This window comes from Homo sapiens, chromosome 2, assembly GCF_000001405.40.
Source record: "Homo sapiens chromosome 2, GRCh38.p14 Primary Assembly".
Lineage (NCBI taxonomy): Eukaryota > Metazoa > Chordata > Mammalia > Primates > Hominidae > Homo > Homo sapiens.
The window spans coordinates 168,917,522-168,945,434 of record NC_000002.12 but is presented as its reverse complement, the minus strand read 5'-3'; the positions used below and the strand labels follow the sequence as shown (position 1 = coordinate 168,945,434).

The 27,913-nt window shown below is 37.8% G+C and overlaps 1 protein-coding gene across 7 annotated transcripts in view, besides 1 other annotated feature; it reads left to right on the top strand.

Annotated features, from left to right (window-relative positions):
* Positions 1–27,913, top strand: part of ABCB11 (ATP binding cassette subfamily B member 11) — a 115,935-nt gene that overhangs the window by 85,890 nt on the left and 2,132 nt on the right. For 3 of the 7 annotated variants that reach the window (XM_006712817.4, XM_017005166.2, XM_017005167.2), the window contains 9 exons: positions 474–578; positions 669–830; positions 9,002–9,205; positions 10,010–10,251; positions 12,902–13,058; positions 14,573–14,770; positions 18,073–18,279; positions 20,632–20,778; positions 21,613–21,859. In XM_006712817.4, coding sequence (XP_006712880.1) covers positions 474–578; positions 669–830; positions 9,002–9,205; positions 10,010–10,251; positions 12,902–13,058; positions 14,573–14,770; positions 18,073–18,279; positions 20,632–20,778; positions 21,613–21,813 — 1,623 coding nt within the window. In that variant the 3' untranslated portion in view covers positions 21,814–21,859. Of the gene's footprint in view, positions 1–473; positions 579–668; positions 831–9,001; positions 9,206–10,009; positions 10,252–12,901; positions 13,059–14,572; positions 14,771–18,072; positions 18,280–20,631; positions 20,779–21,612; positions 24,655–27,913 lie in introns of those variants that run through there. The other 4 variants (XM_011512078.3, NM_003742.4, XM_017005165.2 and 1 more) reach the window with 4 other exon arrangements.
* Positions 8,876–10,075: an enhancer, noted in NCBI's record as "CDK7 strongly-dependent group 2 enhancer chr2:169791870-169793069 (GRCh37/hg19 assembly coordinates)". NCBI's record gives its function as "activates an origin of replication core promoter dependent on BRD2, BRD4, P300/CBP, MED14 and CDK7 cofactors, with strong dependence on CDK7, by STARR-seq in HCT116 cells {active_cell/tissue: HCT116}" and the evidence as "EXISTENCE:reporter gene assay evidence [ECO:0000049][PMID:35650434]".

Sequence of the window (27,913 nt, the reverse complement as noted above, 5' to 3'; positions counted from 1 at the left end):
AAAAATTCTGTAAGTCATCACCATTGGTTTTCATTCACCAGGTTTTCCGCCCCACAGAGGACTGTAGTACATCGTCATCATATTCTTAGCTAACTTTCGTTTAATTACTAGCATGTTTAAAGTGGAACCATTATTTAAAAGACTTTATTTTTTAGAGCACTTTTAGGTTTACAGCAAAATTAGAGGAAGGTACAGAGATTTCCCATATACCCCCTACCACCCTACACGCATAACCTCCCCCATTATCAACATCTCCCACCAGAATGATACATTTCCTACAATTAATGAACATACATTGACACATCATTATCACAGATCCACAGCTTACATTAGGGTTCACTCTTGGTGTTGTATATTTTATGAATTTGGACAGATATATAATGACATGGTAAGAAAAATTCATTTTAAACATGTAAATAGATTTATTTTTCTATTTATAATAAAGTTACTTTCTTGTTTACTATCTTTCCAAGACTTTTTCAATTCCTGATAAAGAGGAACAAAGGTCACAGATCAATGGTGTGTGCCTACTTTTTGTAGCAATGGGCTGTGTATCTCTTTTCACCCAATTTCTACAGGTAAGAAATGTTATTTTTCAGTAAGTGATTTAGTTATTTTTCCTTTTTTCTCATTAAAATTTCTCTAACATCTCCCTCTTCATGTTTTAGGGATATGCCTTTGCTAAATCTGGGGAGCTCCTAACAAAAAGGCTACGTAAATTTGGTTTCAGGGCAATGCTGGGGCAAGATATTGCCTGGTTTGATGACCTCAGAAATAGCCCTGGAGCATTGACAACAAGACTTGCTACAGATGCTTCCCAAGTTCAAGGGGTGAGCTATGGGAGGGGAAATAGAAGTATATTAACTGCATTGGCATTCTTTCATTAGAGCATTCTGACAATCACCTGCATGTTTTCTATGGAATAGGGACCAGTGGGATTGGGATATCCTAAAGCCACATTTTCCACTGCTTCTAACACTGACAAACAGCAGCTAAAGCACAGTGTCTCCCAGGCAGTGCCCAGAATCAATATATGGCATGCACCAAAATCTGTCAGGGTTTTGGATTTCCTCTGAGTCTAACTTAGGAACATTTCTGAGTCTGTTTTCAGGCCCAGAGACTCAGCTTCAACAAGATTCAATACTGCCCCCCAGGGGGTGGGTGAACAGGGCAAGGAAGTCTCCTTACTCACACAGGACCCCAGAGTGTGGTTTAGCCTTATGAACAGAGAAGCTGTCCTGGGCAGCCTCTGGAGGAGCCCAGTCAGGAAACTGAGGGAAAGAAATAAACGATTTTTATCTAGAATCTTGAAGGCGTCGAAGAGCTGACTTTCTGATTAAGGTAGACAGAGCTGTGGTGTGTAAACCCCAAAACCTACAGCCTTGTTCAAGGGGCTTACACATATGATGAGGCTAGACTTTTACAAAACCAGGTGTTTGGATTAAAGTGAAGAGAGCCAAATTGCCCTTCCAACATCTCTACCCACTTTCTGTGAAAATTTTTTAAAAAACCCTAATTTAAAATTATTTTTAAAAAGAAATAATATGTTAATAAATTCTTTAAAAAACAAAACCAAAGGAAAAAAATTTTAAGTACAATTTTAAAACTGAACTATGGTCTGTGAGGCTCTTAGAAGAAAAAACTCACTGGACTGATAGTGCTGTACTGTAGTCTCAACTCCTAGACAGTTTAACCAAAAATACCAAAAATGATATGGCAGAATTTCAACGGATCATGGAATCCTTTCACTTAGGGGGAAATCCCTATAAATAGGCCACTTTCAATTCATCTAGGCTTTTTCTGGAAGCACATGTGTTTCCCATAGACTTAGGGTTACACTCTACATATGTGTTGCAGTCTTTCTTGTTTCCCCTGAAATAATCTAAGGTGAACATATTTTCATAATTATGTATTCTTCTACAGTAGATTTTTAATGAGTGCACAATACTTCATTCTCATCTACTGTCATGTCTTAAAGGATTCTCTAGTTACGTTTTTCCCCTAGGTTTTTCTCCTCCTTATAAGCAATTTATATCATTTTATATCGAGCTTGCCACATCCTTGATTATTTTCTTAGTTCTCAAAATGTAATCACTCAATCAGTGTATAATCATTTTGGAAGATTTTGATATGCATTGCATAACTGCTTAAAGAAACTTTGTTCCAATTTCACTCTCATCATTGGAGTACTGTAGTCTACTCCCTTTACTCTTGAATTTAGGCTAAATAAATAAGTCATAATCTTATCTCTTCTATTTTTGTGGCCTTCAATCTGCAAGGAGCTTTTGAAGGTTATTTGCTATCACTAGAATTCAGAGAGTAGCATCTAATTATCTTAAAAACACTTATCTTTTTAAAAAGAGGATTTTCTCAGAATTTTTCTAATACTTTTGTTGTTTTTTAAAAAATAAGATTGCTAGCCCAGGTCAAACTTATCTTAAGATTAGTGTGAGGTAGATTTGGCTTTGTTTTCTTGAAGTTGGATAGAAAATATTTCAAAAATATTTTTTAAATATAGATTACATTTTCTACTGGTTTGAAATGTTTCCTCCCATTGTGAATATTAACTTCCCATATATACTTAGAACTAACTTTGGAGATTCTCTAGTCTGAATTGATCAATTTGACTTATTCTATTTAAAACCTTATTGTTTTAGTTGATAATTTTTTTTAATTTTTGTAGATAGATACCAAGTAGGTGTATATATTTATGGGGTACATGAGAGGTTTTGATACAAGCATGCAATGTGAAGTAAGTGCATTATGAAGAATGAGGTATCCATTCCCTCAAGCACTTATCCTTTGTGTTACAAACAATCCAATTACACTCTTAGTTATTTTTAAGTGTACAATTAAATTATTTATTATAGTCATTCTATTGTGCTATCAAATAGTATGTCTTATTAATTCTTTCTATTTTTTTTTTTGCACCCTTTGTTTTAATTCTTATAACTTGATACATTTTAGTATCTGGTAAGGCAAATCCCTGCACACTAATTTTTCCTCTTCGAAATTCTCTTATCTATTTCTGGATGTTAATTATTTTAATACATTTTACACTCATTTTAACTTCTTCTAAAAATTTATTTTTATTCTGGTGAAATTCATATGCACACATACATACACAGTAGGATTGCTATTGTGGGGATACTAAATTTTCCTGAGAGACATACAAACAAGACTCTAGTTTTTAGCAAGATTCATAGTTATATGTCCCACTATCTTGCTCACTTTTTCTCATGTATTTTTTCCACTATTTTGAATGAGATCTTTTTCTCAATTATATCTGTAAATGAGTTGAGATGAAAGCTGTTAGTTTTTGTATACTTATCTTAAGGACTTTCCAAGCTCTCTTATAAGTTATAATTTTAGAAATTTAATAGTCTACTGGGTTTTCTAGGTATATAATAAAATACCAGATATAGTTCTGAAATATTACAGGTTTGGTTTCAGACCACCGCAATAAAGAGAATATTGCAATAAAGCATGTCACACTAATTTTTTCACTTCCTAGTGCATATAAAAGTTGTGTTTACACTATACTGTATTCTACTAACTATGCAATAGCTTTATGTCTAAAAATAAACAATGTACATATCTTAATTTATTAATAGCAACTGACTGACCACGGTGGTGGTTGCTGAAGGTTAGACTGGCAATATCTTATAAGACAACTGTGAAGTTTGCCTCATCAATTGACTCTTCCTCTCATGAAAGATTTATTTGTAGCATGTAATGCTGATTGATAGTATTTTACCCACAGTAGAATGTCTTTCAAAATTGGATTGAGTTCTCTTAAACCCTGCTGCTACTTTTATTAACATAGCATTTTCACCAGGAGTGGATTTCATCTCAAGAAACCAGTTTGCTTATCCATAAGAAGCAACTGCTTATCCATTCAAGTTTTATCATGAGATTGCAGCAATTTAATGCAGCACATCTTCAGACTCCACTTCTAATTCTAGTTATCTTGCTATTTTCATGACATCTGCAGTTACTCCCTCTGAAGTCTTGAACTCTCAAAGTCATCTGTGAGGGTTGGAATCAACTTCTTTCAAGCACCTATTTATGTGGATATTCTGACCTCCTCCCATGAATCACAAATGTTCTTTCATAAATATATATATACATATAAAGTGTATATCTATATATACACTGTAAGTTCTAGGGTACATGTTCTTAATGGCATCTAGAATGGTGAATCCTTTCCAGAGGGTTTTCAATTTACTTTGCCCAGTTCCCTCAGAGGAATAACTATGGCAGATGTAGCCTTGTAAAATGTTACTTCTTAAATAAAAAGACTTCAAAGTGAAAATTACTCCCTGACCCATGGGCAGCAGAATTCATGTTGGGTTAACAAGCACAACAACATTCATCTCCTTGTACATCTCCGTCAGAGCACCTGGGTGACTAGGTGCGTTGTCAATGAGCACTAATATTTTTGAAAGCTGTATTTTTTCCTGAACAGTAGGTGTCAACAGTGGCTTAAAATATTCAAAAAACTGTGTTTTCAACAGATGTGCTGTCATCCAGCCTTTATTATTCTATTTATAGAACATAGGCAGAGGAGATTTAGCATGCCTCTTAGGGGCCTAGAATTTTTGGAATGGTAAGCTTCAACTTAAAGTCATCAGCTGCATTATCCCCTAACAAGAGAGTCAGCCTATTTTTCGTAAGTTTGAAGTCAGGCATTGACTTCTCCTCTCTAGATATGAAAGTCCTAGATGGCATCTTCCTCCAATAGAAAGCTGTTTGGTCAACACGGAAAATATGTTATTTGGTGTAGCCACCTTTATCAATGACCTTAGCTAGATCTTCTGGAGAACTTGTGGCAGCTTCTACATTAGCACTGCTGCTTCACCTTGCACTTTTACATTGTGGAGATGCTTTTTTCCTTAAACCTCATAAAGCAACTTTTCTCCCAAAGCTTCCTCACTTCTCTCAGCCTTACTAGAATTGAAGAGAGTTAGGGCCTTGTTCTGAATTAGGTTTGGCTTAAGGCAATGTTGTAGCAGGTTTGATCTTGTCTCCAGACCATTCAAACTTTCTTCATATCATCAATAAAGCTGGTTCACTTCACTTTCTTATTATTTGTGTGTTCACTAGAATAGCACTTTTAATTTCCTTCAAGAACTTTTTTTTTCTGCATTCACAGCTTGACTATTTATTTAGTCCTATCTCAGGACTAAATGAGGCTAAAATGAGGCCTAACTTTTAGCCTATCTCAGCCTTCAACACACCTTCCTCACTGAGCTTAGTCATTTCTAGCTTTTGATTTAAAGTGAGAGATGTGTGACTTTATTTCACTTGAACACTTAGAGGCCAAGGTAGCGTTATTAGTTGGCCTAATTTCAATATTATTGTGTCTCAGGTAATAGGGAGGTCTGAGGATAGAAAGAGAGAGAGACAGAATGACCAGTCAGTGGAGCAGTCAGAACAAACACATTTATTGAATAAGTTTTCAGTCTTATATTGGCGTGGTTCGTGGTGCTCTAAAACGATGGCAATAATAATGCCAAAGATCACTGATCACAGATCACCATAACAGATATAATAATGAAAAAGTTTGAATATTTTGAGAATTACTAAAATGTGATGCAGAAACATAAAATGAACACATACCATTGGAAAAATGGCACCAATAGAATTGCTCTGCATATACAGGGTTGCCACAAACCTTCCATTAGTAAAAATCACAATATCTGCTAAGCAAAAAATGCAAAAAAGATCATTTTGTCTTTTCTTTTCTTTTTTTATATTTATACTCATTTTATTTTCTTATTATATTAGCTAGAGCTCATTGAGAAATAAGAGTGGTAGTAGAGGTGATTCTCTCAAGCAAGACAAAAACTCAAAACTACAAAGTAGACATGTTGGACTTCATAAATTCAAAACTTTTATATAAACAAATGATAAACTAGAAAAGCATTTATAATAAATATTAATATCCCTAATATAACCATATTATGTGTAGTGTTCCTAAAACCATCATGAACGATATTCATGAGGATGGGGAATAACTGACACTTTCATACAATGTACAAAGTTTTTCAATGTTTTTTGGAGAGTAATAGTAAATAATAGTAAGCAAATGTTTTGGAGAGTAATAGTAAATAATGATATCCCCCCAAAAACTTTAGAGTTGCTTTTCAAGTATTGTGTAATGCCTGACAGTCCTTGCCAACCAGAAATTCTTTTTCTTTTTTAATTATATACTCTTTGAACAGAATTCTGATGAGTGAATTCCCTCCTATTGTGTAAGAATGTGTGTTCAAGGATATTTATCATTTTTTATATTAACCAAAAAATTAATAAAATTCCCTGGAAACTACCCAAATATCCATCAACAGAAAAAGAGTTGAATCAATTATGATACATTTATACTAAGGAATATTGCACAGCTATTTTTTAAAGTGTTCCTATATATTGATCTGGAAGGATAGTTATGTACCATTGATAAGTGAAAAAAAGTCAAAGTACAAAGTAATATGTAGAGTATGAGCCCTTTTTGTAAAGAAAAAAATTAAAATATATGTATATATTGTTAAATATGTATCTATGTTTTGTTTGTGTCTTAGGTTGTATTATTTTCAATTTTTAAAAAAATACCAATTGAATAAAATGTAAAAGGAAACAAAATAACGACATCCCAAAGAGCTGCAAAGTTGCTTTTCAAGTCCTCTGTAATGCCTGACAGTCCTTGCCAACCAAAAATTCTTTTTTAAAAAAAATTGTGGTAAAATATTTGTAACACAAAATTTACTACTTTAACCATCTTTAAGTGTACAGCTGAATGGCATTAAGTACATTTACATTGTTATGTAACCATCACCACTATTCATCTCTAGAAATGTTTTACCGTTCCAAAGAGAAATTCTGTACCCTTGAAACGGCAACTCCCCATCCTGCTCTCCCTCCCCTCAGCCCCAGCAACCACCATTTTACTTTCTGTGTCTATGAACCTGACTACTCTATGTACCTCATCTAAGTGGAATCATATGAATTTATCCTTTTATGTCTGGCTTATTTCACATAACATGATGTTTTTGAAGTTTCTCTATGCTATAGTATGTGTCAGAGCTACATTTTTATGGATGTTTATTTTATGGATATATCATGTTTTCTTTATTCATTCATCTGTCTGTGGACATTCAGGTTGTTTGGCTGTTGTGATTAATTCTGCTCTGAACGTGGGTGTACAAATGAGAAATTCTTGATTTAGCCTGTTAGTCTCCAAGGAAGTCAGCACTAACACATGGGAATGCTTTGGGACACAATTTTATATTCCATTTGTGTCTTCAATTCAGTATAAAGATGCAAATTATTCCTGAATAACAGTGCCTTAGCATCGAATGGTTACTAACAGGTTACCTTTTGTCGTTTTACATTTTTTTGTCTTAAATAAAAATGTGTTTCTACAATTTTAAAAAGAAGTGATGTAATTGTCCTCACCCAAGTATTTTCTACAGAGTGTGCCAAGCTTTGGTCGTACCTGCCTAGCTGCAACTGAAACGACGATTTGGAACCATTGGATACTCTGATTAGTATAGATATAATTACCACAGTGGTCCATTCTCCATCTATATTGGGACTGAATCCATTTTGTCCATCTGCATTGACTAAATAGCTGTGTATTACAGCAGCATGTAACTTTGTACCAACGAGCAGGCTAACTTCAATGAGAATCAAAGTGGTATCTTATAATAGTCTTGTATCAACTTCAAAAATATAATTATAGAGCAAGCATTAATCTTCATTGAATAAGTAATATTACCTCAAGCCCAATGGCTGGATATCTTCAAACAAGCCAAATGCATCAGTACTTGACACATGTGTAGCCCATGTTTAGGGCTGCATTAATCTCAGACAGACTGCTCTAGCACTGACACTCTTAAAATGAGATTAGTCAATAAATGAACTTCGGATAAGCTATGAATAAAGAACCTTTTAATTAATTCAGCCTTCAGATACGTTATGTGAGCTCATCATTTAAAAGAACTTAATCATTTAAAAGAACTTAACTTTTTGAACAGGGGACTACCATATGACCCAGCAATTCCACTCCTAGGTCTATATCCAAAAGAATTGAAAGCAGGGACTTGAAAGGTGCTTATACACCAGTGTTCATAGCAGCATTATTCACAATAGCCAAAAGTTGGAAATAACCCCAGTGTCCATCAATGGATGAATGGATATACAAAATGTGATATACACATACAATGGAATATTCAGTTTTAAAAGGGAATGAAGCTAGGTGTGATGGCTCGTGCCTGCAATCCCAGCACTATGGGAGGCCAAGGTGGGAGGATCACTTGAGCTTAGGAGTTTAAGACCAGCCTGGGCAACATAGTGAGACCTCATTTCTACTAAGATTAAAAAATTAGCAGGTGTAGTGGCATGCATCTGTGGTCCCAGCTACTTAGCATGCTGGGGCAGGAGGGCTGCTTGAGTCCAGGAGGTCAAGGCTACAGTGAGCCATAATTATGCCACTGCCCTCCAGCCTGGGTGACAGAGTGAGACCTTGTCTCAAAATAAAATAAAATAAACAAAAAATAAAAATAAAAAGGAATGAAATTTGTATACCTGCTACAACATGCCTGAAGCTTGAAAACATTATGCTTAGCAAAATAAGCCAGACACAGAAGGAAAAATATTGTATGATTCTACTTCTAGAGATACCTAGGGTAGGCAAATTTATACAGACAGAGAGTTAGAATAGAAGTCACCAAGAGCTTGGGGGAGAGAGAAGAAAGGGAGGTTATTGTTTAATGGATACAGAGTTTTTGTTGGACATGATTTTAAAAGCTTTAGGTATAGATGTGTGATGGTTACAAAACATTGTGAAATGCCACTGAATTGTACACTTAAGAATGGTTAAAATGATATATATTGTTATGTATATTTTATCACAACTTTATAAAAGGTCTGACCTTTTTGTGTAATGGTAATTGGTAAAAGCGACTGTGTGTCTGAGACGGGTTGATTGCTTTTTGGTTTGCAGGCTGCCGGCTCTCAGATCGGGATGATAGTCAATTCCTTCACTAACGTCACTGTGGCCATGATCATTGCCTTCTCCTTTAGCTGGAAGCTGAGCCTGGTCATCTTGTGCTTCTTCCCCTTCTTGGCTTTATCAGGAGCCACACAGACCAGGATGTTGACAGGATTTGCCTCTCGAGATAAGCAGGCCCTGGAGATGGTGGGACAGGTAATCTTGCAGATCTAATTTTCCCATTCCTCATGGCTGAGTGGCTATCAGACAAACTGTTAAAAACGAGTAGTACGAAGAGACTGAAGGAAGCTGTCAGCCCACAAGACAGGCACACTTAAGAACCTTCCACCACCCTTTCTATGCGTGCTTGGCGCAAAGGCTGAGGCAATAAAGCTCCGAGACTCTGAGTATGAGCCAGTGTGGAGAAATAGCGGAGTGAACACAGGATTGCCTGTTCAATTTCCTCTCGCATAGTGATTCATTCCACATTCCAATTTGGTGTACTCTCATTTGCAGGGGTGGATAGTTCAGTTTTCTGGCCGTGAAGCTTTTGCAATTTAATGGTTCCCCTGAGCCATGCTTTCCACACACACAGGAGCTATGATGGTTTTAATGGCACATGCCTTTGCTCTTCATACTTTAGAGTCCCCCAGGCTTGGGGCAAGTGTCTTTCCCAACCAGAATTATGAACTACAGTTTAGGTTTTGGATACACTTAGGTTTTAGCTACACATTTTAAAGTGTGTTCTAATTAATATCTTGTCCTTGGGGGGTAAATGAGGGATGGTAGCATAAACACTTCTCAAGTATAAGAATTAAGGGAAACTTGAATTTAACTGAAAAATTGTCTCGTGGTCCAGTTGGGTTGATCTCCAGCCACGTCTTTGTATTCCCAGATGATGCATTCTCTGATTTGTACCACATTCTGCCATTTGCACCATCTAATCCAGGCAGCCACTGAAATGTCACGAAAGGAGTTATTTCTGCCCTTGTATTCCTAAGACTCTTTTTCAATCTTCAGATTACAAATGAAGCCCTCAGTAACATCCGCACTGTTGCTGGAATTGGAAAGGAGAGGCGGTTCATTGAAGCACTTGAGACTGAGCTGGAGAAGCCCTTCAAGACAGCCATTCAGAAAGCCAATATTTACGGATTCTGCTTTGCCTTTGCCCAGTGCATCATGTTTATTGCGAATTCTGCTTCCTACAGATATGGAGGTTACTTAATCTCCAATGAGGGGCTCCATTTCAGCTATGTGTTCAGGTGAGGAATATCTAGCCAAGGTGAGAAAAGATCAACACACAAGGAAGGAATAGCCTGGTTCTGTCAGTTAGCTTTTTGCTGCTTAGCAAACCATCCCAAGCTTGGTGTCTTACAATAGCTGGGATTAATTATTTCTCAAGATTCTGTGGGTCATCAGGGCGGTTCTTCTGACCTGGGCTGACTCAGTCAGGCTTCTGTGTATTCTTCTGTCTCCACATGGCCTGTCTAGCAGATGAGCTTCTTTTCTTCATATTATGGCCTCAGAGTTCCAAGTGCCACAAAAGAGGGCAAGCCCCACTGTGCAAGTACTTTTCAAGTCTCTCCACGCAAAGAAACTTTCTAATTTTCTGTTTGGCCAAAGAAAGTCATACCATCAAGCCCAGGTTTAAGGAATAGAAAAAAATAGAATCCACTTTTTGATGAGAGGAGTAAAAAAGCCATGTTGCAAAGGGATGCATGAAAGTGTGAATTAATATGATCGTTGTTTATAAACAATCTGCCACACATGTTAATGCTGAGAAAATCTAGAGGTCTTGGCTAAGATGGTTCATAGAGAACTGTTTTGTTTGAACTCCTCTCTTGCAAAGAGGGCTGACTCCTCCCAACTGACTCCTCCTAGGCAGAGACAGCATGGGCCATACAGGTGAAGGATGTTCCATTCGTATAGCCAAAGCCTGCTTTTCTAATAAGATTAGCTTTTAGTCCAATTTCTCACATTTCCAGAGGTGAAAGCCTAAGGGTGTCAGGGTACTGGGGAACGAGGTACACATGTATATGGGCGAGTCGGGGGGTAAGGGTGGAGATGGTCTGAGAAAGGTTTGGAGGGCATTAGGAAAAGTGGTCCTATAGGAATCGGTTCTTGGGTTTCCTTCTCTAGCCATGAGTCCCGCCTTCTCACCTGGTATCTCTTTCAGCACTTCTCTCCCACTCCACTACACCCACCCAGCTAGGAAAGTGTCTCTTTTCTAAATCTTTGCATATTTAAAGCTACTAGTCTAAATTAGAAAACACAAACCATTGGCTTATTTTTATTTAGTTTATATTAAGGTTTTAGAATAATTTTAGAATAATTTAGAATAATTTTAGAATAATTTAGAATATTTTTTTGCCAACATGTAAAAATCTGGGGCTACAGGCTGGGTGCGGTGGCTCATGCCTGTAATCTCAGCACCTCAGGCCGAGGCGGGTGGATCACTTGAGGTCAGGAGTTCAAGACCAGCCTGGCCAACATGGCGAAACCTCATCTCTACAAAAAAATACAAAAATTAGCCAGGTATGGTGATGTGTGCCTGTAATCCCAGCTACTTGGGAGGCTGAGGCAGGAGAAAGGAGAATCGCTTGAACCCAGGAGGCAGAGGCTACAGTGAGCTGAGATCATGCCACTACACTCCAGCCTGGGTGACAGAGTGAGACTCCATCTCAAAACAAAACAAAAAGTGGAACTACAGAAAACTTCCAATTTCTGGCTTCACTTTAAAAATTGGAACGTCATCTTCCACCATTTTCCATTTCATTTCAAGTGCTTTTCATTCCCTTAGGCTTTAAACTGGGCTCCCGGGGATGTTCAGATTTGCAATTCTGGCCTAAAACAATTCCTGCTTATGAACTGAGCAGTGTGACACACAAAGACACATCCCTTATCCCTATCCCCATCCCAGGCAGACCCTCTGTGCATGACAGTGCAGGTGAGCAGCTTTGGGGGCTACTACTCACATCATAATCTCTACAGCAACAAAGTTATCTCTCATTATATTTATCATTCATTTATTCATTCACTCTTTCGTTAATTAAGTACATGTTGACTATAGTTAGAGGCTAAGACAAGTAGAAGGAGACAGGCAATTGCATCTGTCTTGCTCTCTGAAGCATAAATTATATACATGCCTGGTGCAAAAATGATGCTTATATCATCAATCATTATCTTTTATATACCTATTATAGATTCAATAACTGTTAGAATTCTAGAAAAATCAACTCAATCTGGTGATCTTTCAAGCCTGCTTTTTCTTTTAAAAAAATTTTTTCAGAAGTCTTTTTCCCCCTCAAACAATTTTCTTTTCTTTTTTTTTTTTTTTGAGACGGAGTCTTGCTCTGTCACCCAGGCTGGAGTGCAGTGGCGCGATCTTGGCTCACTGCAAGCTCTGCCTCCCAGGTTCATACCATTCTCCTGCCTCAGCCTCCCGAGTAGCTGGGACCACAGGCGACCACCACCACGCCCAGCTAATTTTTTGTATTTTTAGTAGAGACGGGGTTTCACCGTGTTAGCCAGGATGGTCTCGATCTTCTGACCTCGTGATCCGCCCGCCTCGGCCTCCCAAGGTGCTGGGATTACAGGAGTGAGCCACCGCGCCTGGCCAACAATTTTCTTAAAGGAAGCTATTGTGGTCAAATAAAGGTTTGGAGGTCTGAGCTCTCCCCCCTTCATGCTTGTTCAGTCCTCTTCTTACTCCTTTTTCATAGAACACAGTTTGAAAACTGCCAGTCCCTTAAACACCACCCTCTCCATTTCCAGACAAGTCTGAAGTGACTTGCTCAAGGATATTTGGTCCTTTCCTGGCAGAACCAGGGCTAGATCCCCAAACTTCTGCCTTCAGGTCATCACACCAACCACGCCACCCTGCTCTCTTCCTGTGTGTCTGTCTGGTTACAGGGTGATCTCTGCAGTTGTACTGAGTGCAACAGCTCTTGGAAGAGCCTTCTCTTACACCCCAAGTTATGCAAAAGCTAAAATATCAGCTGCACGCTTTTTTCAACTGCTGGACCGACAACCCCCAATCAGTGTATACAATACTGCAGGTGAAAAATGGGTAAGTGTTGGAATACTATGCAGCCATAAAAAAGGATGAGTTCATGTCCTTTGCAGGGACAGGGATGAAGCTGGAAACCATCATTCTCAGCAAACTAACACAAGAACAGAAAACCAAACACCACATGTTCTCACTCATAAGTGGGAGTTGAACAAACAGAACACATGGACACAGGGTGGGGAACATCACACACCGGGGCCTGTCAGGGGATGGTGTGGGGTAGGGGAGGGATAGCATTAGGAGAAATACCTAATGTAGATGACAGGTTGATGGGTGCAGCAAACCACCATGACACGTGTATACCTATATAACAAGCCTGCACATTCTACACATCTACCCCAGAACTTAAAGTCTAATAAAATAAATAAATAAATAAAATGTGTAAGTATTGATGAGGGGTAAGGTTGTGCGTATGTGTGTGCAGGACAGCCATTAGGGATGGCCATACAATACCACTTGGCTTCTAAATTCCTGCTGTATATGGGTTCATTCATACATACTTGGAGAAGACAAACAGTAGATTTATAAATACAAAGGAATAAAGTAAATTAGCATCAAAAATTATTCCTAAAGCTGGCATTTGAACAAGGTGATGACATTCAGTGAATGCTAAATTCTGTGTAATATAAAATACACTTAGTTCCCAAATGAATGAAGCCAGTTGTCCTCTGAGATCTACCTAACCACTGTGTTTTCTATTGATGTTCTGATACAGAATGTAGAAAAATCACTTCTTCCTGTCCAATAACATTGATTTAATTCATGTTCATCTTGATTCAAGTTTTAGCTTATGTGGATGTCCTGAAAATTAATTCAATCTCAACAAAATATCTGTTCTTCTAATTGATAGATAGGTATTTGTAAATCTTCTCTACCTATTTTTGAAAATTTTAGTATGTTCCAGAAAGCAAAGCAAACCTAAACACTAGTAAAGCTAAGCTAAATTCTGTAATCTTTCTAAATTGGTAAAATTTCTCCTTCAGTTCAGTAAATGTAAAGTTTCTGTGTGGTCTATTAAATGTCTATCCATTTCTAGATTTTATAAGTTAGAGTTTTAAGCACACCAAAGTACAATAGAAAGTATTCACCTTTGCAGTACAGACCTCAGGTAACTTTCTTTCTAGGTCGTTTTAAGTGTAACATTATTTTTAGTCTTTAGGAGAACAAAGCTATAGGGTTTGGACAGTTACTGGCTTCTGTGATGTCATATCTTCCAGCTATTCTCTTCTATTCAGAATGTCAGGAATAGATGGCAAGAAAATCCCCTTATGTTAGACTGGGAATAGGGGGAGTCAAATGTCTTTAATTTCGTTGCCCAAGCCTTCCTTTATACTACATCTTTCAGAACACAAAATGGAATGTCCTTTTATTAAGTTGCTGTCTTTATACTTTGCACTTTGGCAGCATGGTTTGAAGGTATCTCAAGCAGGGATTTTAAACTCAAGATTTAGGTGTGTTTTCAATATTCTAGGCTTCAGTAAGAGCATCTCTAATTTTGATCCTCCCATCCACAGGACAACTTCCAGGGGAAGATTGATTTTGTTGATTGTAAATTTACATATCCTTCTCGACCTGACTCGCAAGTTCTGAATGGTCTCTCAGTGTCGATTAGTCCAGGGCAGACACTGGCGTTTGTTGGGAGCAGTGGATGTGGCAAAAGCACTAGCATTCAGCTGTTGGAACGTTTCTATGATCCTGATCAAGGGAAGGTGGTAAGCCACGCAACCTTTTTGAGAATTTTGCCTTCTGCAGAGTATTTCCAACCCCTAAAAGTGGGCTTCAAGTTTTTGCTTTGCCAGACTCACTTTAAAATGCTTGCCTAAGGCACTTACCCCATGCATATTTTCCAGTCCCAGTCATTTGCTGCTTCACCTGATTCTACCTCACAATTTCTAATGTCAGATTTTCCCCAGTTCCAGATGGCCTGCTGACCAGTTAGGCAAAGAAAACTGGGCACACTGCAAAGCTGGAGATGAGTGTATTTAATAGAAGCACTCACTTACCCGTAAATGGAGCAGAAAGTGCAGACTAATCAGGAAACTAATGACCAGGAATGGAAAAAGTAGAGTGATAAGGGAAATAATGATAAATGAGCAAGAAAGGAGAGTTAGCATGAAAAGATCTAAGACAATCCTTGTTCAAGAAGCTGAAATCTAAATAACGCAAGGAACTCAGATTGAGAGCCATGTACCATAAATCTTTAGCAAGGATATTTGAAATTTTGGTGAATAGCTTTGGTATTTATTTTTCATAACATTTCTTTCTCTTTTCTGTCCTTTTTTTCTTTCTTTAAAAGTAATATATGCAGAAGGTCACAAAATCAAATAATAAATATTTATAATAAAAAGCCACCCCCCTGCTTTATGCTTACACTCCCACTCCACATTTCTCTGCTCAAAGGCAACTATTTTTGACCACTTGATGTTTTTTGATCTCCCAATGGTGACTTTTATGTCTTTAAATAATATGCTCATGCTATTTCATGATTTAACAAATTTAGACTCTCTGTGATTTATTCTCAAGAGATAAAAATCTACTTACTCTCACCACTCCCTCCTTTTGCCTACCTCCTCCCAATATAGTTATATCATTTTTTAGGCCTTCTATTTATAAATTTGTAAACTTCTGATCTGCTTCCGTTGCTCTTCCACCACCTGTAGATAGTTCCTCTTGAATTCTCACTTTCTAAAAGAAAAATGTTAGCAATCCTACCTTTATTTTCACCTCTTACTCTTTTCACCTCTTACTTCTTTTACCTCTTAAGTTCTAACTGCACTTTTATCAAGAATTCAGAGCACATTCTGTTTATAACATTATCTTTCCTGCCTTCACTCTAAGTTGATTCTAAAAGTTGAAAATCAATTGACAGCTTTTTTAATGATTATGTAAATATTGTTCATCCTTCAGTCAAATAGTGAGTTACATTTACATTATATTTTTTTGATTGTTTTTCTGAAAGGTTTCTTTTTTTCTTGCATTCTTTGTCTTCATGAAAACCTTTGTGTTCTTCCAATGTCTCTGTCAGGCCATCTCTTCCCTCATTTCTGTCACTCGCAACGTTTGCCTGTTGAACAGTCATCATCCTGTGAGTTCCCTGTGATATTTCCTTGGATTAGATCCATTATTTCGTAGTTCCCATACATTCCTTTTTCTAGTTTTTACCCCCTTTTGTTGGAGCTCATCCAAAAGCAAATTTCTAAGAAATAGTTCATAGATATGGGTCTGAAAATGTTTTGTTTTGCTTCATACTTGATTAATTGTTTAATCCCTATATTTTGAAAGTGGCCTTTCTGACTTCCCTGAATAGTATAATCTTTAATGTAATATACTATTATGAAGAGTATAACATTATGAAGAGAAATGCTAAGAAAATTTTGAAAAAGGCAACTAAAGATTTCCTTGTATAAAGCAAAGCAAGGAAACAAGCAAACAGAAATTGACAGAATCCAGGAAGTTATAAAAATAAGGACTAAGTATTGATTGCCTATAATTTATAATCCCTTCTGTTATTAAGTTGAGGTATAAAGATTGTAAATTTGTTTGAAAGTATTTGGTAACCAATAAACCTAGAAAGCCCATTGTAACCAGAGGTATAATTCTGATAAGTCAGAGGGTTCAATTTTCCAAAATGTCACTTCTGGCATGCCTGCAGCCAACATAGATTGTGAACTATGCAAGGTACAGGAAACTGAATCCCTCATATTTACTTTTCCAACATTAACATGTACATTAAGTATATTTCTCTGAATATGCCCAGTGAATGTTCTGGTCACAGGTCGAAAGCAAGGCCAATAAGGAAATCATTATGACTTCTTGCATTTCATAGGCACAGTATATTTTGTTACAACATCGTAAAACATTTCTACAAACATTTTAAGCAGAAAACCTACCACTTTTTATGTTTTTTTTTCAAAGTCCTCTTTGCTCTTAATCTACCAAATGTAGGCGTTCAATATTTTCAACATTTATTTGGATACCTATGATGTGCCTGTTACTGCATGAGTCCCTGTGGGAGAGTCTAAGGACCATGAAGCATGTCTTCTGCCTTCTAGGAGCTTACAATGTAGCACATTTAGAAGAATGAGCAAACAGCCTGAGTGTTTAATTATTAAATTGTGTTTTGCAGACTTAAGTGCTATGGAAAATGAGTAGAGCAAGATAAGCCAGGGCTAATTGTTATTGAGAAATGCTTTATATTTTTTCTAATAGTGTTTGCTTTTTCCATTACTTAGAAATTATCTTAAATATAATCTGTTCATACCATTTATCACAATTTTTTTCTGAAATAATAGGGCCAAATACTTTATAGTAGCACGTTAGGCATCTGTGCCTTTAATATTCTAGGACTCTTTAGTGAATCAGCTCATGTGGTAGATATTCAAGTACCTGGACTTAACTGCCTAACTAGACTGTGAGTTCCTAGGAAACAGAGATTATATTTTCTTTACGTAGCAGACATAGATGGCTTAGGATGGTGCTTTGTGGCAGGTGATTCAAATATATGTTTGTTGATTGACTAAGTGAATAAATGTATTCCTTTTTTACTTGGTTTTATTATCTCAGTTATGCAGAGAATGGTGTTAGTAAAATCAAGAAAACAGGTTTGACCCTTATATTGCCCAAAAGCTTCACAGAGAAAAATCCTTTCCATAACTCATGAGTCTCAAAATAGAGCAACCCTGTATATTTGTAGAGAGTGTGCTGCACCAAAGTAAGGGGACGTTGTTTCTTACCTGAATACCTGAGCGTCTTTCTCGTTTGCCCCACCTGTAGAGCCAGAGTTCAGGAAATAAATAGGACCATAGTCTGATTAGTGTTAACATGGATGCCACTCCTGATAGACATTACATCCAGAGGTCAAAGGCAACATAATTTATTCCATAATTTTAGCCTTGGGATTGTTAGTCTGTTAAGCAAACCAAATGTCCTGCATAACACCTAATGCTAGAATATGAACTTTCCTCACTGCTGGAATTCTAAAAACCTAATGACCTGTCATCTCCTCTATTGGCAGATGATAGATGGTCATGACAGCAAAAAAGTAAATGTCCAGTTCCTCCGCTCAAACATTGGAATTGTTTCCCAGGAACCAGTGTTGTTTGCCTGTAGCATAATGGACAATATCAAGTATGGAGACAACACCAAAGAAATTCCCATGGAAAGAGTCATAGCAGCTGCAAAACAGGCTCAGCTGCATGATTTTGTCATGTCACTCCCAGAGGTGAGTACGAAGTCAGAGCCATTCCCTATGAGAGACAAGGATGGGGAGAAGTAGAATGACCAGAGTGTACAGGTTGAGCATCCCTAATCTGAAAATCCCAAATCCAAAATGTTCCAAAATTCAAAAATTTTTGAATGCCAACATGATTCCACAGGTGGAAAATTTCACACTTGACCTCATGTGATGGGTCACAGTCAAAATGCAGTCAAAACTTTGTTTCATGTACAAAATTATTAAAAATATTATAGGAATTTACTTCTGGGCTATGTGTATAAAGTAGATAAGAAACAGGAATTTTGTGGTTAGACTTGAGTCCTATCCCCAGGGTATCTCATTATATGCAGATATTCCAAAATCTGAAAAAATCCAGAATCTGAAACGTTTCTGGTCCCAAGCATTTCTGATAAGAAATATTCAATCTGTATTATGATTGTGGCTCTAGAAGGTCAAAGGATATGCAATTTATTTCACAGTGCCCCTGGACTGTCTTAGTTTTTTAAGCAAAAGAAATATCCTTCATCAACATACTCTTTAATTTTGGAAAGTATTGTATTGCCCAATGCAATGGATGCTATTTTTGTTGAATTTTTTTGTACATTGAGCTTTAGTTTAGCATAGTGGGGAAACACCTGAGATTTGGAGCTGACCTGGGCTTGCATCCAAGCTTTGCCACTTAGTAGCTTCATAGCTTTGGGACAATTATCCTTTCTGAGATTGTCTATTTCATCTGCAAAATGCAAGAAAATAACGTTAAAATGAAGAAAACACACTTAATAGCCACACAATGAAAGCGGCCACTGGTATTACTGCCATCATCATTATTTCATTACTTGGCAATGTGTACCGTGGGTGGTGGGTAAGTTACACCTGCCTTACTGTCTCTTACTTTGCCAAACCCAAGTCCAGATTTCGCGCAATATTGACTCTGCATTTTTCCATCCACCAAAAGTCCCTCTTAGTTTTGATCACAAGAAAAATTACAACATGGAAACCAAATTGTAGGGCCAAATTTTACCTTTAACCTTCTCTACTTACTTTTTAAAAATATCCCTGGGAAAATTGTTTTTCTTTATAAGTGATTATGTTTATAAATTTTGTGGGTTTGTGGAAGGCTTTTTGTTTGCTCTTTTCACAAAGTCTCCTAAGTTTTAGGCTCTTGGCCCAGTTCTTACCTGTTAGCCCAATCTATAAGCACATGGAAATTACTATTTGCTGAATCCAGAGATCAAAAGCAAAGATTGTGTGTCTCCTGGAAGATTCATTTATCCCACAAACCCTTATTGAATAGCTACTCATGTTGGGCAAGGCACTGTCATGGAGCTGGTTTACTGCATTGTCCTCATACAGACTTGCCCGTGGCACCCTTCTCTGAGCACTTTGTCTCCACAAAGACAAAGCAGGTTTTCATGGGTCTCACCTGGCTTAAAGGAGCATTCCTCAGGAGGCAAGGGAAGCAGGGAAAGGAAACAGCTCGTGTTGTGGAAGGCAAGGAAGAGAAGTAGTCAAGGCAAGGACTTAGAGGAGAGCAAGATTCACTTTCATCTGGATTCAGATTTCACTTTCACTGCTTGTTACTTGTCCTCGCACCATTTTCTTACCTCCCTGTGCCTAAGTTTTGTAATCTAAAAAATAGTGTGGGTATGGTTTCTGTGAATATTAAATGATACCCTAGCTAGAATAGTTAGCACAATACCTCTATGGTAAACACTCTATGAATGTTAACTAATTTTTATGTAGCCATGCCAGGCATGAGTGATTTTTTCTTCCTAATTTTCTCTAAAACTCACAATAAATATGTGAAGTAAGTGTTAATACTGCACCTCAGATGCCTAGCCAGCTCAAAAAAATTTAAATAATTTGTTCATGAACACAAGCTAGTAAGCAGCAGAGTGGAGCTTCTAACCAAAGCCTGTGTTCCAGAATGCTGCCTCCCTAATACAGCAATGGACCAGAAGATCTCGCAAAAGACATTTCCATTCTTGGGATTAGTCCATATTGGAAGGATTTTTCCAGATAAGAATCTAGAATCAGAGAGTCTCAAATCAAGGAGGATCTCATATATGGGCTCTTATGTGGACACAGGGAGAAGGAGATTGAAAATATAAACCTAAAAGAAATGCAGAAATGAGGAATAATGTCCCCTTGCTTCCCACATCAAATGTCACAAATTCCATATTTTTCTTATATTCCTAAGTGGATTTGACATCCTCCATCCTATAGGAGGACTCACTCACTGTTCCCTAGTTCAACAAACAAATAATTTAAATTACAGAGGAGACCTTGACATGAGTTCAGTACAGCACAGGAGCAATAACTGTTTCTATTTCTCAAACTTATCATACTTTTTTTCAGAAATATGAAACTAACGTTGGGTCCCAGGGGTCTCAACTCTCTAGAGGGGAGAAACAACGCATTGCTATTGCTCGGGCCATTGTACGAGATCCTAAAATCTTGCTACTAGATGAAGCCACTTCTGCCTTAGACACAGAAAGTGAAAAGGTAAGTGTTGAATTTCTAAAGTCTTAGATCATTACAAATAAGTCTTTTGCTGTAAAATTTGTCCTTAATAAAATGGCACTATTTTCAATTTTCTGATTCGTTAACAGTAGAAATTGGCAATACTTTGTGGAACCAAAAGACAATTATCTAGAGCAAGTGATTTAATATAAGATTGCTTCAAAAAAAATATTTTACCTTTAAAATAAGAATTGTTTTTAAGATTCTTTAGGCTAAGTGACATTTTTTTCCAAAGGCAAATAATCACCTTTCTTGAATAAAGTAAAATAATCTAGATTATCTGTTATATTTTATAGTTCTAAAGTTATGTGACAGAGAAGGTAGGCCACATGCAACACAAAGAAAGAGGTGATATCTGATGTGTGGTTTGCATGAAAGAAGATGCAATTGAGCAAAACACAATTATGAAATTTAAAATGTATAATTAATGCCATAACAATCGGGATTCCATTTTGGAGAGAGCTAAAATGTCTTCAATGAAGAGCAGTATCAGGAATGGCCACTTAACTGCTACCCTCCGTTGTTTTCTTCATTTCATTTCAGGAAACTAGACCATCAAATATTGTAAAATTATGTAGGGACTTCATAGTTTGCTTCCTTCTTGCTCCACTGAAATTTCTCAGCCAGTGCACTGCCATTGAAATCACTGATGCATTGCATTCAGGGAATACTTGCTTAATCCTCTCTTATGTTGAGCCTTTGGGTTTGCCGTCAAGTATAGGATTGTTATTCAGGTCGTGTTAACTGAACTCTCATGATGGTGGGCTGGGGAGCAATCATGCATCTTTGCATCAACTTTCCATCTTCTCTTTGCAGACGGTGCAGGTTGCTCTAGACAAAGCCAGAGAGGGTCGGACCTGCATTGTCATTGCCCATCGCTTGTCCACCATCCAGAACGCGGATATCATTGCTGTCATGGCACAGGGGGTGGTGATTGAAAAGGGGACCCATGAAGAACTGATGGCCCAAAAAGGAGCCTACTACAAACTAGTCACCACTGGATCCCCCATCAGTTGACCCAATGCAAGAATCTCAGACACACATGACGCACCAGTTACAGGGGTTGTTTTTAAAGAAAAAAACAATCCCAGCAGGAGGGATTGCTGGGATTGTTTTTTCTTTAAAGAAGAATGTTAATATTTTACTTTTACAGTCATTTTCCTACATCGGAATCCAAGCTAATTTCTAATGGCCTTCCATAATAATTCTGCTTTAGATGTGTATACAGAAAATGAAAGAAACTAGGGTCCATATGAGGGAAAACCCAATGTCAAGTGGCAGCTCAGCCACCACTCAGTGCTTCTCTGTGCAGGAGCCAGTCCTGATTAATATGTGGGAATTAGTGAGACATCAGGGAGTAAGTGACACTTTGAACTCCTCAAGGGCAGAGAACTGTCTTTCATTTTTGAACCCTCGGTGTACACAGAGGCGGGTCTATAACAGGCAATCAACAAACGTTTCTTGAGCTAGACCAAGGTCAGATTTGAAAAGAACAGAAGGACTGAAGACCAGCTGTGTTTCTTAACTAAATTTGTCTTTCAAGTGAAACCAGCTTCCTTCATCTCTAAGGCTAAGGATAGGGAAAGGGTGGATGCTCTCAGGCTGAGGGAGGCAGAAAGGGAAAGTATTAGCATGAGCTTTCCAGTTAGGGCTGTTGATTTATGCTTTAACTTCAGAGTGAGTGTAGGGGTGGTGATGCTACCATTACTGTGAGGACCTACCAGTGTGGCTGGAGCAGGGACTCTCTCCCAGGCCTTTTACTCCTCAGCACCTCCCTGCATACTGATTGTTGTTTTTAGTTTCTGTGAAATTATATTCATGAAATGAAAATAGCGCATTTTACTTTGCTGTAGTTTCATAAGGTTTTATACAAAAAAGCAAGTAAATATGGCAGAAAAGCACTCATTTGCCCCTGCTCCCTCAAAACACCACAGAATGACATAGAACTAAAGGCGGCAGGAATCTACAAGAATGAAGAAAACACAGTGATGCCACCTGCAAAATCTTGGGAGCCAGAAAGCAAATGGACAATTGATAATAGAGTTACAAGATGAGAGAAAACAAAAATGTAACCTGTTAGTTGGGGGAGCCTAGAAACATCCTGTTTTGTACCACAGACCCCTAGAAAGTTTCAAGATGTAAAAACACTGGATCCTTCTGGAAGGAGGAGACAAGGGGACAGAGGGACTGAAGACAGAAGAATGGACCAAAAGCCTGTATGGAAACAGAATTGCAGAGCCCCGCCTGCAGCAGGATGGCTGCCTTTCCCCAGTTCCAGCGAGAAACTGCATACTCCCTCTCTGAGGAGGCTCACAGGGAGGTTTGCACTTAGAGACACAAGATGAAGTTGAAGGGGCAGCTAACATACAAGAGACAGGGGGATTGAATGTAAAGCTGTGTATGAACAGAAGAACTCCCAGCCCCTCTCTTCTGGCAGGAGATTGAAGAATGATTTTCTGGGGAAATTGGCCAATCTTAGAAAAGAGGTCGGGCCAGGCGCTGTGGCTCACTCCTGTAATCCCAGCACTTTGGGAGGCCAAGGCGGGCGGATCATGAGGTCGAGAGATTGAGACCATCCTGGCTAACATGGTGAAACCCCGTCTCTACTAAAAATACAAAAAAATTAGCCGGGCGTGGTGGCGGGCGCCTGTAGTCCCAGCTACTCAGGAGGCTGAGGCAGGAGAATGGCGTGAACCCGGGAGGTGGAGCTTGCAGTGAGCCGAGATCGCGCCACTGCACTCCAGCCTGGGCGACAGAGCGAAAAAAAAAAAAAAAGAAAAAGAAAAAGAAAAGAGGTCAAGGACTCCGTCCTTGGAATCCTAAGAAAATTTTCCAGCCGTATTACCCTTCTATGAAGCCCACCTGTCAACCAACAAGCACCCACTCGATCAGAGCTTCCCCAGGCTTTTTGGTGTCTCCTCCTTGCATGGGAATTGACTTCCAAGGACCACCAGACACTGAGGAAGTATTTTAACATATAAAGCAAAAGCAACAATAGGGCAGCTGGAGAAAGGAAATTAGAAGTAACAGAGCCAATGCAGTGATTAGAAAAACACTCAAAAAATGGTAATAAATGTGTTCAATGGGTCAAGAGAACATATTTCCATCTATTTAAATAAAAACAGGAATCAATAAAAGTGAACATACAAAAAAGAGCTCTTGTCACAGAAATGAAAACCTTGGGAGCAGGACTGCACCCACGGTTCCCACCAACCTATCCTGCCATCATGTTTTCTCCCTACTCCAGCTTCCTCCCAAGCTCACTCTACGTAGATGGTTTTTCTTCCCTTAGCCAACAAACGAAATTCTGCCTATAAATTAAGCCAGGACACTAGGATATGGAGGTATATTATTTATGTCTCTTTTCCAGTGTTTCCTGGTATATAACAGCAAAGATGGTTTAGCAAGTTAACTGGTCAGGCCAGAATTCTTGATGGTTGCCAAGTCAGGAGGCAGACGGTGAAGGAATGCATTCTGGTTATGAAAAATGGCAATGACGAGTAAGTTGCAGAGTAAAGATGCCTTTTAGAGGAAATTAAGGTTTGCAATAAATGCATGCTAATCCTCTAATTTTGATGAAAGACTAAAGCTCTTGTTTTGGTTTGCATTTCAAAGAGCAAGAGCATAGGCTCTTGTGCTGGGAGGTGGCCAGTTTCCTGGAAAGGAATTTATGGAGTCTGAAAGAGGAATTAGTACAAATTATATTTTCAAATAAGATACTTGAAAGTTATTGATGACAGGGAAAAGATTGTCTAAAGAGGGCTTGAAATTGGGGAAATAATTGAGGCTCAGTGACAAAGGAGAAGATTACAACTTCAAAAATGAATAAATAAATAACATTGCATGTTTATTTTACAACACCAGGGGGCGATGATGTCTACGTTTTTATTCTGTATCCTTTATCGCTGACAAAGATTTGGTCTCTGCAATTTTACCTTATTGTTTCTCAGATGACCAAGGGGTTGGCTTAATTTGTTCTGTTTAAACTTATTGCAAGTCCTTCTGTAATTTCCTAATGTTTTCATAATGTGTGTTGTGACCAGACTCTCCTTATAACCCCAGTTAATAAAAGTTAACAGGAAAAAAAAAAAATAGAAGGATTGGAAGATAAAGTTGGGGAAATTTCTCTGAAAGTAAAACAAAAAGATAGAGATGAAAAGTAGGAAAAAATAAGAAAAGAAAAAATTGAGGGTAACAATTCAGGTGGTGCAATAATTAGTCAATAGTCTAGTTCAAGAGAGTTTATTTAAAAAAATAAATTTAGACTATTTTAAAAAATAGTCTAAGATCATTTCCTACAATTGAAGAATATGAATTTCCAAGCTGAAAGAGTTCACCCAATACTGAATATAATAAATAAAAATCCTATTTGGGCACAGTATGAAATTTTAGAAAATGAGGGAAAAGGAGAATATTTTCCAGGAGAGAAGGAGGAATGTGTGACATATAATCGATAAAGAATTATAATCATGTGACTGGGCACAGTGGCTCATGCCTGTAATCCCAGCACTTTAGGAGGCCGAGGCAAGAGGATTGCTTGAGCCCAGGAGTACAAGACCAGCCTGGGCAACCTGGCGAAACCCCATTTCTAACAAAAAAAGAAAAGCAAAAATTAGCCAGGCATGGTGGCATGAGCCACTCGGGAAGCTGAAGTGGGGTGATTGCTTGAGTTCAGGTGGTTGAGGCTGCAGTGACCCAACATCGCGCCACTGCCCTCCAGCCTGGGCAACAGAGCAAGACCTTGTCTCAAAAAAAAACAAAACCAAAAAACCAAAAAACAAAACAAAACACACACACACACAAAAGAACTATAATGACATAGGACCTCTTGACAATGAAACTAAAATTCATAAAGATTTGCCTTCAAAATTCTAAGGGGAATCATTCTATATGTAGCAAAGCTATTCTCAAGAATGAGAGAGGTCTAAAGACATTCTCAGTCATGCAGGTCTCAACACCTCTACTCCCCATCTTTTCTCAGAAAGCCACAAAAGGGGGCTTTTTTTTTAAAAAATAAGGTCACAGATAAAAAAAATAGGAAGATATGGGATGTAAGAACAGATGACCTAACTCAAGAATGAGGTGCTGGGAATCTCCAGGATGATTAGGAAGGAGATCCCAGGATTACAGGTGTGCTGTACCCAGAGGAAGTAGTCAGCTAGATTGAGGCAGGGAAATGGGTTCTGAGAGGAATGTCCCCCAGAAAAACATGGTGCTGCTAGAATGCCTGGTGGGTTTGAATGCTGAGAGAAGACAGAACCCCCTGCTAGAGTTTGAGGGTAAGTTAGCAATGCGTAATAGAAGACAAAGAGAGTGAGATTGGAGATTTTTAGCTATTAGCTCTAGGTGGAAAGAAAAGTTACACAAAAAGAAAATATATTTTTATTTTACCTTATGACTCATCTGAGAATGTTATTTACAAAGTCACATCAATGTAAAAGCTTAATACTGATCTAAAGCAGAATTATAGATAGATTATGAAAGGAACAAGAAAATATGTGGGGTAGGTTGGGATGGGATAGGACATGGGTAAAAAAAGAACTGGATCCTTGTGGTCCTCATATTTCATAATGGAAACTAAACAGTTAAACATTTAAACAAATAAGATGTTTTACAATAAAAACATCTTATTGTAAAAGATGAAGGTGAATACTGAAAGAAACTGCTAAAAGATTTATGTACATATATATCTTTCATTGAAAAAAATAAAGTTTAAGATGAAAAGGGGATAGAAATGCAGTACAGTTACAAAAATTAAAACAATAGATACTGAAACTATTATAGATTTGAAAGATACATCACCAGAACAGAAGGGAGTCCAGAAATAGATTCACCAGAGATCCCATTTATCAGAATATATTTTAAACTTCTAATCACAAAAAGTGAGCACACTTTTCTCTTCCTGCATTGTTCACAATCATTTGGAAAAAATCTCAAATCTATAAATAAGACGATGGGGTAAAGGTCAAATAAGTTTCGGTACATATATGCAATGATGTTTTTCATGAAGCCAAAATAATGATGTTGACTTACATTTATTGTTTTTTGTGGAGCAATGCCCATGTTATATTGTGCAGAAAAAAACCATTTCTGATCATCAAAGATGGTATGATGCTATCTATCTGTCTAATCATCTATGCACACACACTCATACATGCATGCATCTGTTATGTGTGTATCTGTGTTTGGTGTGTGCTTGTACATACTTGTATGCATAAAAAGATATCTGGAAGAATTTCTGCCAAATTTTGGTAACTTTTATTTCCAGCCATTTGTCCTCTGTGTGACCAGAACTCCCTGCATATACTAAAATGTCTATTGATGGTCTTTGAGGGCAGAGACTGCCTAGTTCATCTTAATGTCCCCAGTGCTTTACTCGGTACTTGGCATAAAGTTCTACCTCAATACATCTTGTTGAATAGTCTTCTCAAAGTCACACAGGTAGTTTATAACTTGTCAGCCCCCACGTAAGGAATAAAAGTGGAAAACGCCCATTCTTTCCGTGGGTCAGAGCAGTGCCTTTCAACAGAAATATAATATGGGCCACTAATGTGAGCCACATAGGTAATTTTAAATTTTCTAGTCACATAAAAAAGTGGAAAAAAAACAGGTGAAATTTATGCTAATTGTATATTTTATTCAACCCAACATATCCAAAATATTGCCATCACAACATGTAATCAAAAATATCCTGAGATTTTTACATTATCTACTAAATATTCAGAATCTGAGGTGCATTTACATTTACAGCACATGTTAGCTCAAATCAGCCTTATGTCAACGTCTGTTCTCAAGAGCCACTAGTGGCTACTATGTTGGACAACACAGAATTAGAATATCAGGTTCATGAATTCTCTAGTCTGAATCTCAGTTGTCTCTACAATTCTAGTCTTATAAAAACATGAGCCCAGCTTCTCCATTGGAATGTGTCCTTACACTGTACTCAGAAACTTTGCAAAACTTCAGTTTTGCAGGATGTCAGTTTGGATGCAAGAAAGACCTTTGGGGAATCAAACAAATCATTTTGATGTCAGAAGTCATAGAGCTACACTGGCCTGTATCAGAAGTGGTTAAAATGCTTTACATCATACATTTTATTTGATTCACCAGTGTGAGT